This window comes from Homo sapiens, chromosome 8 (genome assembly GCF_000001405.40).
Source record: "Homo sapiens chromosome 8, GRCh38.p14 Primary Assembly".
In the NCBI taxonomy this organism is placed as follows: Eukaryota; Metazoa; Chordata; class Mammalia; order Primates; family Hominidae; genus Homo; species Homo sapiens.
Window position 1 is genome coordinate 22,621,673 of NC_000008.11, and position 11,262 is coordinate 22,632,934.

General features: G+C 57.9%; 1 protein-coding gene across 5 annotated transcripts in view, besides 6 other annotated features; it reads right to left on the reverse strand.

Moving 5' to 3' along the window:
* Positions 1 to 11,262, reverse strand: part of BIN3 (bridging integrator 3) — a 48,704-nt gene that overhangs the window by 1,255 nt on the left and 36,187 nt on the right. For 3 of the 5 annotated variants that reach the window (NM_001363046.2, NM_018688.6, XM_047421995.1), the window contains 4 exons: positions 8,770 to 8,906; positions 8,292 to 8,332; positions 2,550 to 2,691; positions 2,243 to 2,377 (listed from right to left, as the gene is read on the reverse strand). In NM_001363046.2, coding sequence (NP_001349975.1) covers positions 2,243 to 2,377; positions 2,550 to 2,691; positions 8,292 to 8,332; positions 8,770 to 8,906 — 455 coding nt within the window. The other 2 variants (NR_156436.2, XM_011544587.2) reach the window with 2 other exon arrangements.
* Positions 1,291 to 1,460: a silencer, noted in NCBI's record as "silent region_19004". NCBI's record gives its function as "represses an Ori minimal core promoter by ATAC-STARR-seq in GM12878 lymphoblastoid cells {active_cell/tissue: GM12878}" and the evidence as "EXISTENCE:reporter gene assay evidence [ECO:0000049][PMID:35858748]".
* Positions 4,784 to 5,417: an enhancer, noted in NCBI's record as "H3K4me1 hESC enhancer chr8:22483969-22484602 (GRCh37/hg19 assembly coordinates)". NCBI's record gives its function as "activates a minimal SCP1, AML or CMV promoter by ChIP-STARR-seq in primed H9 embryonic stem cells {active_cell/tissue: H9 hESC(primed)}" and the evidence as "EXISTENCE:reporter gene assay evidence [ECO:0000049][PMID:30033119]".
* Positions 6,685 to 7,318: an enhancer, noted in NCBI's record as "H3K4me1 hESC enhancer chr8:22485870-22486503 (GRCh37/hg19 assembly coordinates)". NCBI's record gives its function as "activates a minimal SCP1, AML or CMV promoter by ChIP-STARR-seq in naive and primed H9 embryonic stem cells {active_cell/tissue: H9 hESC(naive and primed)}" and the evidence as "EXISTENCE:reporter gene assay evidence [ECO:0000049][PMID:30033119]".
* Positions 7,319 to 7,951: an enhancer, noted in NCBI's record as "H3K4me1 hESC enhancer chr8:22486504-22487136 (GRCh37/hg19 assembly coordinates)". NCBI's record gives its function as "activates a minimal SCP1, AML or CMV promoter by ChIP-STARR-seq in naive and primed H9 embryonic stem cells {active_cell/tissue: H9 hESC(naive and primed)}" and the evidence as "EXISTENCE:reporter gene assay evidence [ECO:0000049][PMID:30033119]".
* Positions 9,461 to 9,995: an enhancer, noted in NCBI's record as "H3K27ac-H3K4me1 hESC enhancer chr8:22488646-22489180 (GRCh37/hg19 assembly coordinates)". NCBI's record gives its function as "activates a minimal SCP1, AML or CMV promoter by ChIP-STARR-seq in primed H9 embryonic stem cells {active_cell/tissue: H9 hESC(primed)}" and the evidence as "EXISTENCE:reporter gene assay evidence [ECO:0000049][PMID:30033119]".
* Positions 9,996 to 10,530: an enhancer, noted in NCBI's record as "H3K27ac-H3K4me1 hESC enhancer chr8:22489181-22489715 (GRCh37/hg19 assembly coordinates)". NCBI's record gives its function as "activates a minimal SCP1, AML or CMV promoter by ChIP-STARR-seq in primed H9 embryonic stem cells {active_cell/tissue: H9 hESC(primed)}" and the evidence as "EXISTENCE:reporter gene assay evidence [ECO:0000049][PMID:30033119]".

Here is an 11,262-nt window from a genome sequence, read left to right on the forward strand (position 1 = left end):
GGAGCTGTGCAGCAGCGTGCCTTTGGGGATATGCAGGGCACGGAAGGGCTCTAGCTGAGACTGAACCAAAAGGAGCCGGGGAGCAACAGGGCCTCAGTGGCTGGAGGTGGAGGCGCCCCTGCTTCGGGCTCCTGGTTCCCCCAGCAGCAGGTGCAGGAAGGCATGGGCCTCCTAGGGCGACTGTGGAATGATGGGCACCATGACTGGAGTTTTACTGCTTTTTGTAAGCTAGGGGAGAACCCAAGGCTTTTGTCCATGGCAGAAAGACAGCATGGTAGGCTGATGGCTCCCAAAGCCCTAAGCCAGCTTTAGAGGCACAGGCAAGAAAGGGGATGCCCGTCTAGCCTTCTGTTCCCTCCCAACTTGCATCCCACCCTTGCTCATGGCCCAAGCTGCGTGGCCAGGGGGACAGCTCAGAGGCCAGGTTCACTGCCAGGGTCCCTCTAGGGAGGCACCAGAAATGGTGTGGGAGGGGACACAGGGTTGAGGGTGGGGCAGGTGGAGGAATGGGGAAGCCCGTCAATTCTCCCAGATGGCTGAGGACCAGGGGCTTTTCCACAGACAATAGGGGCCACTTCTGCCTCAGTTTCTACCTCATGACCCAATGAAAGCATGCAGTTTCCTGAAAGCTTCCACGTTTCACTCTAGACATGAGGAGGAGCTCTAGACACTAAGGGGACCTTGTGGGAAATGCCAGGTGGGGCGGGGACCCACGGCTGATACTCCTGAGGCGAGATTTCCGCCGGCCGAGGGGGTGCTAAAGTGAGCTGGTCTCAACACACTGCTGTCACCTCTGGGCTGGCGGCGGCCCACCCTGCCCCCACTCCCTGCCCAAGCCACTGTGCGCTGAGTCACTGGGAATACTCACTTCTCCATGACTAATGGCAGCCGGGCGGGCGAGGGGGAGGCTGGGGCCCAAGAGGCAGTCAACAGCCCCCAGCAATGCTGCCTGGTTAAAGGGCATCCCTGGCCTCCCATCTGCTCCAACCTGGACACGCGGGAGCCTGGCACCCTGTGGCTTCCTCCTGTGAGCAACAGGAGGGAGGGTGCAGGGCAGCACCCAGGTGACAGTGAGGAAGAGGCAGGCCCAGGTCTCCCGTGAACCCAATGGGGCGGCTGGAGGGAGCCCTCGCTGCAGGAGCAAGTGTCAGGAGAAGTCCCTACCTCCTCCTGCAGAAGGCTCTAGGTCTCACTGCCCCCTAAAGATGGCACAGGACCAAGTACGTGGGTCACTGACAAGGTCCCGCCCCGGCATGAACCCTGCTCAGGTGTCCTGACTGGGGCAGGTGGCCACCCTGACTTTGGCCCGGCAGGGTGGGTGTGCACTGGCCAGGCTTCACGGCTGCGACTACGGGCCTGCAGGAAATGGCCACTGGAGGGCGCCAGACGCCCAGCCACGCTCAGACCACCCGGGCCAGGAGGGGCAGAGCCACAGGGACCTGGCAGGGTGCCACGGGTGTTGGGGTACTAAGGCTGTTGCTGAGCGCAAGCCATCAGCAGGGTCCTGTGTGGAAGGGACCCGCTTCTGGCATGGGTGCCCACCCTTTTCTATTTTGCCAGTTGGGGGAACAATCCTTCCTAAAGGCTTGAAGATGGAGGAGGGTGAGGAGCATGCCACTCCGTGTCCTCCCGTCCCCGAGTGGAAGGAGACGCTGGGGCCTGGCCCGTGTCTGACCCCCAGTGGCGCCCCCATGCCTCCAGGCCTGCCTTTCCACCCCAGGGCCCTAGGAGCAGCCCTGATTGTGGCTCTCCCCAGGGCTCTGGAGCCCCCTTCCTTAGTGGTTCCAAGGCAGGACTCCCGCCGTTTCCTGCTAAAAAGACTGGCTCACGGTAGGCAGGGGAGGGGAGCTGAGTCCTCAGAAAAGGCCTCCATTCTCCAGATCCCTTTCTTCTCGGCACCACCCTGGGCCAAGAAACCGCCCACTTGAGGGTGCGGGGCAGAGGAGCTACTTATAGTGAAATGTAGAGAGATCCATGGCGGAACTGCTGGACCAAAAGGGAACCTCGGCCATTCCTGGTATGGGATTTACCAGAGAGCAATGTGAGGAGTCTAACAGCAGACAGGTCCCCCAAGTCGCTGAGCCTGGGACTCTGGTAATGGAATGAATTCCTTCAGGGCTTTGCCTGGGGTGGGTGCCCTGTCTTTACGGAGAATGGCTAAGCCACCCTTCCAGTGTGGGTGACAGGGAGTGGCATGAGCTGTGTATACCAAGCCCAGGGGAAGAGCACCTGGCGGCCTCACCTGAGCTCGGATGAGGGACTCAAAGCTGGGCTGGAAGTAGTCGAGGCGGCTGCCGTAGAAGCGCGGCATCTCCTCCAGCAGCTGCCTGTTCTTGGCTTCAAAGTCCTCCCGCACAGGCCGCAGCTCCTCTCGTGCCTAGGGAACAAGACCTGGGTGTCAAAACTCTCTCACTGCTGGGTGCCGGATACGGGATGGGTGGGGTGGGGACGTCTGGTGTCTTGGTGCCCCCAGGTGAGGGGAGGGACTTACCACAGGTGACCACGATGGCCCACCTGTCTAGCCCCTGCCCACCTGTCTCCCCTGGTACCTGGTGGAGCTTGGCCAGCACTGGCCCCGTCTTCTCCTTTTCCTCATACTTCTCCACCTTGGCCTGCAGCCTCCTGTAGTCCTGCAAGGCCTGTTCCCGCCTCTTCACAGCCATGTTGAGGCTCGGGAAGACACTGCCGAACCTGTGGGACAAGCTGGCTGGAGATGGGCCCGTTCTTGAAGGGGTGGCCTGGCTGGAGATGGGTCTGCTCTTGGAGGGGTGGCCTGGCTGGAGATGGGTCCGCTCTTGGAGGGGCGTCCTGGCCAGCACTCACTTGTCCAAAAATGTGCCCTGAGCACCTACCAAGCGCCAGACCCTGCTCTAGGTCTTGGGGAGTTCACTGTGAACAAGACAGATGAGGCCCTGTCCCCTGGAGCTTGTGCGAACGTGGACAATGTCATGGGGTGAGGGCAGATGAGAGGAGGTGGGGTTGTGGGCCAGGTCCAGGGAGCTGGGTGGCACAGGGTGGCCCAGGAATGAAGGGTGCCCTGACCCCCACCTCCTGTGAGCTTTATCACACAACGGACTAGGGGATGGTGGGGAAGGTGCCTTGAAGTCATCTGGCCAACACCTCACTTTTAAAAAGGAGGGAAACTGAGGACAGAGAGAGATGACCTATGACTCATCCAAAGTCACGATGAGGCAGAGAAGGTCTAGAAGAGAACACAGGTGTCCACATTCTCTGTCTGGCACCCTTTCCAGCCCTCACAGTGCCACTGGCAGGTGGCAGAACTGAAATCTAAACTCACCCCTGCCCCAGGGCACCTTCTCCTTCAAGGGCTCCTTGGCAACATGAAAGCAGCAGAAATCCTCTGGCTCTGCCATTGGAACCGCCAAAGTTCCAACCAGCTGCTTCAGGAAAATGCCCTGAGGACCTCCACTGTGACTAGAAGGGACCGCGTGGGAGACTCAGAGGAGTGGCCCTCAGAGAGAGCAGCAGTGGACGATGCAACGCTGCAGGTCCACACCGGCCTCGTCTTTGTGGATCATGTGTCCTCTAGTGACCAGGAGCAGTGCTCTCCTGAGGCTCTCGCTGCTGCTGCTGGAGGGCTGGCCCTCGGTGCAATGGCAGGGGGCGTCTACCAGGCAAGCCAGAGCCCTGCAGTGTCCAGGATCAGGCTGCGCAGCCCAGGGAGCTCATGACTCTGTGGCCATTCGGAGGTGACCCAGGACCAGAAGAGTTGGTTCCTCCTGGACATTTTTATGAGGAACCCAGAGAGGAGGAAAGACGAGGGCAGGAAGCAGTTACTGAGACTGGGATCATAGGCACTCAGAGTTGAGAGGATGCTGGCAGACTCACTGTCAGGTTCCAGGAGCTCAGCTACCACACAGAGCAGGACTCCCAGATGTGCCTCTCAAAGGACATGACCAGGAATTTGGTTTTGAGACAGAGTCTTGCTCTCTCACCCAGGCTGGAGTACAGTGGTATGATCTCTGCTCACTGCAGCCTCCACCTCCTGGGTTCCAGCAATTCTCATGCCTCAGCCTCCCGAAGAGCTAGGATTACAGACGTGTGCCACTACGCCCAGCTAATTTTCGTATTTTTAGTGGAGACGGGGTTTCACCATGTTGGCCAGGCTGGTCTTGAACTCCTGACCTTGAGTAATCCACCCGCCTCAGCCTCCCAAAGTGCTGGGATTACAGGCGTAAGCCACCGTGGCCGGCCTGTTTTTAAAAAGCCTCAGCAAATCAAGTGTACATTTGAGGTAAGAGTAATGAACAGTTTTGCCAGGGAGTAAGAGGATATTAACTTTACCAAAGCATTAAATGCCCCCAAACTAAGTCAGACCCAGGGAGTAGATTTTGATGAAACAAAGGGCTTATCCCCAAGACAGGAATCCTCTACCTCAACAGTGTCCATAAGGGGCTCCCTGTCTTAACAAGGTGCTAAGTGGGTGAAGCCACCAAAGCACCCTGAATGCTCACCCGTGCCCTTAGACATAGTAATCAAACCAGCATCTGACCGACTTGCCGGGCAGAAGCCATGGGCCTCCCAGGACTGTGCACAGAGAACGCGGGCCCCTCAGCACTACGGAACTGAGGGTGGGAAGCAGACACCACCAGGATGCATAGTCGCCCATGGCGTGGGCTGGGGTGAGACTGCTGGGAGGAGCTAGACTTGATGCTTTGCCCAGGGCGGCTGCGTGGTGGAGCTGCAGCTGCTGGGGAGCCCTGCCCCCTTCCTGGGCAGCTGAGAGGCACGTGTTCAGGCAGCAGGTGCAGCTGGGCCTGAGAGGCTACCAGGCCACCTCTCCCTCAGCCCCAAATGGCCAAGGGACCACCGGCAGCTACCCTGGTCCTCGCCCTGATCCTTGTGTTAGAAGCCACCTGCTGCTTGGATGGTCCCAGTGCCTGGGCCTTGTGGGTGCCTGGGAGCTGCCGGGTAGGTGCAGGCGCTGGGACAGGGCAAGGATGAGGCAGGCAGGAGGCAGCAGGTGGAGAGCTCTCTGGCCCTGGCCCCAATCCCACCACCCTGAGCTCACATCCTCAGGAAGGAGGGCATCACAGCGTGAAGCCGTGTGTGCGCAAGGTGGCTTCCACGGTGCAGGATGGGAGGAGCCCTATGCTCGTTGCTCCAGCAGCCTGACCCCCCAACATCCCCTGAGGCACTCTCATAGCCCCCTTCCCACAGCTGTCGGCTGGGGCTTATTATTTCCTGTGCCAGAGTCAGAGCCACCAGGAGCGCTGACTACAGCGGAGTGCCGAGCGGGGGTGAGGGAGGCCGGGTTACAGAGCTCCTCGGGGGATGGCGTGGTGGTGTCTCCAGGTGGCCACCTGGCTGCATGGGCTCCTGCCAGCCCCCTGGAACCAAGACCACCTGCCTCTGCAGGCCGCCTGCCCCAGTGGGAAGAGCATGTCTTCACCATGAAAACCTCCGTTTCCCATGACAGCACCCCTTAGCCACCAAGAGGCTCTGCCTGCTCAGGCCACTGGAGGTGATTGCTGATAAATTACAACCACGGTGGGGGGAGGTTGGGTCCTGGGATTGGGATTCCCTAGGGGTAGGGACAAGTGTCACACCTTTCTACATTCAGTGGGAACTCACATCAGTCAGGGCAGGGCGCAGCTTGTGCCAAGGTGGCTGAAGAGTAGTGGACCAGGACTCTGTCACATCTGCCCTGGTCACTCACTGACCCTTTGAGGCCCCATCTCCCCGTTTTCTACTTCTTAGCAACAGAACAGACTTTGCCAAAGCCCCGGGGTGGACAGTGGATGTGCCACGGTGCTGTGTGGGATCTCAGGTCAGGGCTCAGGCTGCTGGCAGGGGAGGTGGAGACGTGCACAGGCTGGGCGCCTGTGCCAGCCCCTCCCAGATATGTCCCTGGGACCCCACAGAGGCCCTGCTGACTCTACCCAACCACACTGGGGGAGCCTGTCCCCAGGCGTGAAGCCAGGACCCAGGCTCCACTCTGCTGTTCCAGCGCACTTCACCCCTCCTCTCTCCCTGCCCACCTCAGCCCACCAAAACCTCCTCTCCCACTCCTAGGTGCTGACTGTCCCATTATGAGAAGTCAGTTTGGCTTTCTCTTTCCACATGTGAGGAAACAGCCTCCGAGGCCAGGTGGGGGCAGGTCAGACAGCCCACCGAGCATGCCCCGCTCCATGGTCCTGCACCACGCTGGCAGCTGCCACACCTGGCCGCTGACCTGAGAACACGCTGTGGCTTTCCACTAGACTGTAAGCTCCTGAAGTCTGTTTTACATTTATCCTCAAAGAAGGGGGCCGGGCTGGGCCCAGGCCAGTGATCAAAGCATTACCCATGATCACTGCCCAATTCTTGTCTGTCCTAAGGCTCAATATCAAACTCACTCCCCTGGGGATGGGAGGGGCGAAGAGGAGAAGGAGAGGGAAGGTGAGCGAGGCCGGCTGGGAGGTGGGCTGGGCGCAGCCAGCACTGGTGGGGAATGCCTGCCATGCCTTGGTCTGTGCCCACGCAGCCGGGAGCTTCCACCCACCAGGAAAGGGAAATTGAAAGCATCCCCATCCGACATGTGAATACGGCCCAGAGACTGGGGATTAGAGGCCGAGCCCCTGCAGGGAGGCTGGGGGCGGTGGGGTGGCCATGTGGCCGTGATCTTCATCAGAGGACAGGAAAGCTGGAGTTTCCTGTTTCCGGTGCTGGGGTCCCTGGGAGCTTCTCTTCTGGCAAGAGGAAGCCAATGGGAAGAGGCTGTAGGCTGCGCGGTTTTATGTGGTTGGGGGAGATCGTATGTCAGCTGTGGGGATGCAGGGAGAAGCCAGCCAGGCAGGCCTGAGGGCTCATGCAGAGGTCAGCGGATCCGCTGCGGAGATGTGCGCCCCCTCTGCCACGCCCCCACCTTCCTGGCAGGTGGTGGGCCACCAGGGTGGTGGGAAGTGGCCGGGGTTTCTCTCCATTTGGGCTTCAGAAGCCAGGGATCAGATTTCAAGGGCGCCTTGCTGATACTGAAACTGAGGTGGGAGTCAGTTCCCCAGTTCTCTGAGTCCCTGCCTCATTCTACCAGCCATGGGTGCCTGTGGCAGCCTCTGTGTCCGTCTCTGGGACCCCTGTGGCCCTGGCACAGAAAAGCCCTCTGTGGGCAGGGTCTGCTCAGTCTATGTCCTTCCCAACCAGCCCTGAACAGTCTGTCCCGAAGCCCAGGACCAAAACCCACAGCCACGGAGCTCTTTCTGCACCCCAGCTCCCTACGCAACCCTGTGGCATGGGGCTGCGCTGTCCCCAGCAGGCAGGGGGTGGTGGATGCCCACTCTGGGGAGGCTGGGGGGCCAGGGCCGGAGCCGGAGGCACAGTCCCTTCCCTCCCTGCCTTCGCTGAGCCTCCACGGTCCTGGCTTAGAAACAAGAGCTTGCTAGGGTCAGGCGGGCCTTTTCCTAATCCCATACTTCAGGCCTGCACAATCAACGAACAGCTCAGCAATCCGAAACACCAGGGGCTGCAGGATCAAAAACTGCTCCTCTCATTGCCGTGTGGGCCCTGGGCCAGGCCAGTGATAATTAGGCAGAGCCTCATTACCCGGCCCTGGCAAGGCACTGCCTGGGACCACCGCAGAAGAGGCAAGGAAGTGCAGCTGGGCGAACAGGAGCTTTCTAGGTCACAGCCTGCTCGAGAGAGGCCAGGGAAGATGAAGTGATTCGGGGCTTTAAGGCACGGCTCTGCCTGTTCCCCGCCCTGGGGACCGAGGGAATAGGCCTGTCTGATCACTGACCAGGGCCTGCCCAACAGAAGATGAGCCTCATAGAAGCATTCCTGACCCCAACAGGTCACAAGCTAGAGGACCTTCCCGGGCCAGACCCCGCTGCCACGCCCCTCCCTGTGTGCGGCCACCCCCACGTTTCCAGAGCCGAGTGCTGCAGGCAGCTGCTCTCCCAAGCTGGCGGGGCAAGATGAAAGGCCTTGCTCATGTCCGCTGAGGGCTGGCCAAGATCTCTGCTAGCTCCATTCAGCAAGCCCTGGCCCCAGTGGCTCTCAATCAGGAGGAAGCGGTCAAATGACCACCAGAACAGCGGCGGTTGCTGGGTGGGGTGGGAAGGGGGTGGTGGCAGGGGTACCCTGAGCTCGCCTGGGCCATGTGGGTACTCTGGAGCCCCCAGGAGCATGGACGCTTAGGCCACAGGTCACAGAGCTGACGTCCCCACTGAGTTTCCCGTCAGGCCCCATGGGAATCTGGGGACACGCAGCTAGAAATCCTCTTCAGTCCCCAAGTGGCTGCTGACCTGCCTCTCCCATAAGTGCCCCGAGGCCCCCAGGTGACATTTACTCACTTTTTTAAGGGCTCGATCACAGTCTTCTGGATCTGGTTCACCTGTCAAAGAAAAACCCAAAGACATTAAAACTGGTGGGGAGGGGAGGGCGACACGCAAGGCAGGGCCCCTAACTACCAAAGGGCTAGGAAGTCTAAAGGGCCACAGGGTGCTGTCCTTGTCCTGGGCCTGGCTTTGCTCAGGGTGGAGGCCGGGTGGCTGGCCACAGAAGCCTCAGGGGCTGGGGTGAACAGGACTGCCGCCGGCAACCCTCACAGTAAGTAACATGAGCTCGTGGAGCCTCAGGAGGCAGGTAGAGCCAAGGCAGAACAGTCTGGAAAGAGCCCTGTGGGCTTGCAGCACCTTGCAGCACACGAGGCCAGAGGGCTTAGAGCCCTGAGAGCAGAGGGAGCCCACTCGGGCCTCCCCGCACAGTCCACCCAGAGGCCCAGACCGGGCAGAAGTCATGCTTGCCCACCCCACACCAAGACCTAGTCACCTTTTCCTGATTGAAGGCATCCATCCGCTTCATGGCCGTGTCCAGGGCCGTCACCATGTTCAGAAGGTCCTGGTCTTGCTCACAGAGGGGATTGGAGAGTAAGTCCAAGGATATCTTCACGGCAGATTTTGACATGGCTGTGGGAAGCCAAAGCTCGGTGAACCTTCTATGAAGGGGCAGGTTTCACGGCCTTCTCTCCAGGACCCCGTCCTCCTATGCCAGGGGCCTGCACCCTGAAGACCTCTTCCCACAGCCACGGCCGTCAAGAACGGCGAAGTACCACACAACCACAAGCTGCTGATCCCCATGGTTTAATGTTCATTCCTGACCCTAACACTGCTCCAGACAATTCTTTTGAGCCGCTTTACCTGTTCTCCAAACCCTGGGTTAGAAAAGGACCATCTGGGTGGGAGGCTATAAAATATGTTTCTGGCTCCAAAGATTCTAATTCAGTAAACCCGGTACCCAAGAATATGCATTTAAAACCGCTCTCCAAGTGGTTTGGACGTGATGCTTGGTTTGGGACTCCTGGATGGACAAGAATAACAGTACTCCAGTTTACACATGCTTTTACTACAAAAGGCCCAACAGTAAATATTTCAGGCTTCGTGGGCCATACAATTTCTGTTGCAACTTCTCAACTCTGCCTTGTGCTGTGAAAACTGCCAGCGACAACACATAAAAAAAGGGATGTGGCTGTTTCAATAAAACTTTATTGACAAAACTAGGTCAGATTAGGCCAGCAGCTGCACCCTGCCAACCCCTGGTTTCCTCAATATCCAGTAGGAAGAGATACGCTGGAAAATGTGTTTTCCCCCAAGACTCGCCCAGACACACACTGCAGCTGGTACAGGCGGGACTGGGACAGCAGGGCCCTCCTCCCGGGTCTGTTCCTGCTCCCCCAGAATTTTGTTTGTAAATAATGGAAACCTGGGGACTTGTACGGGACAAAGAGCTCCAAAGCTGCCAGCAGGTCCCCATCTTAGGGTTCTGCCAAGGTTCCCATGCACTCTCATTTAGGGCTCAAACAACCCAGGGGATGTCTAGCGGAAATGTAGTTTGGTTCCATTTTAGCGAGGAGGCAGATTAGGCGCAAAAGGGTTTGTAATGCCTCCAAGGTCAAACGGCTGAGTGCGCCAGCCGGGCCCTGACCCTTGACCCTGGGCAGCTGCTTCCCTGTTCACTGCTCTCCTTCTGATCTGGCCTAGAGGAAGCCAGTGGACAGGTCCATCAGGCTCTGTCCATCAGGCATCCACTGACGTTTTTCAAGGCACCCTGGTACCGGATCCCCATGAATGTGCCGCCCACCCCTCTGTGCTCCTCCCTCCTGTGTTGACATTCCCTGCTGGGCAGATGGGAAGCCTGGGAGTCACAGGCGGCTCAGAGGCGGGCTGGAGACCTGCTGGCAGCTTTGGAGCTCTTGGTCCTGAACATGTTTTCAGGCCTCCATTATTTCTAGATTCTAGAAACAAAATTCTGGAGGGGCAGGAAGCGGCCCTGGAGAAGGGTCATGCTGGCCTGATGCCGTCTGTACCAGTGTCAGAGTGCATCTGGGGCAGGTCTCAGGAGAGAAGACACATTGTGAATGCATTTCTTACCATATGCATGTTACTGAATTTAAGATGCTCTTCATTATAAGTCACTTATTGTATGAACTACTAAGGGAGAAAAAATTGTTGTCAATCAAACCAGGCTACACTTTCAGTACTTTGATTTCAGAGACATTAACTGTGGAAAAAGTGTCTTAGGACCCATGACATAAGGTCTGCCTCCCAGTTAATCACAGATGTGGCCTTGCCTAGCACTCCATGGCATGAACCTGAACCCTGACCCTGCGCTCCCCGGGGAAGGGTCTGCCTCCGCCAGGCCCCTTCACCAGTCAGCAAAGCAGCGCTGAGCGGACTAGCCAGCCCGGAGCACCCTCCTGGGGTTTTTCTGGAATCTGGGAGAGTGCTACAGTCAACCAGCAAAAGGGCAAACTGTGGGAGAAGGCTGGAAATGTAAACTTTCCAGAAATGTTGAAGCAACGGAGGGAAAAACACCTCTTAAATTCTGTGGAGTGACTCTGTAGATTTAGGAACAAACGTTACGTATAACTTGATTTGATTATGAAATGATCACATACAGCATAATAAAAAGATAATAAAATTCTGGATAAAGCTGGAAATGTTTCTGAAAAACATCTTCTGCTATTTCTTAAAAAAATATCTGAGGAAAACAACCCAAAAAGCCAGAGGAGCGAGGACACGGTCTTTCCACTTTCCTTTTTTTTTTTTTTTTCAGACGGAGTTTCGCTCTTGTCACCCAGGCTGGATGGAGTGCAATGGCATCATCTCGGCTCACTGCATCCTCCGCCTCCTGGCTTCAAGTGATTCTCCTGCCTCAGCCTCTCAAGTAGCTGGGATTACAGGTGCCTGCCATCACACCCACCTAATTTTTGTATTTTTAGTAGAGACGGGGTTTCACCATGTTGGCCAGGCTGGTCTCGAACTC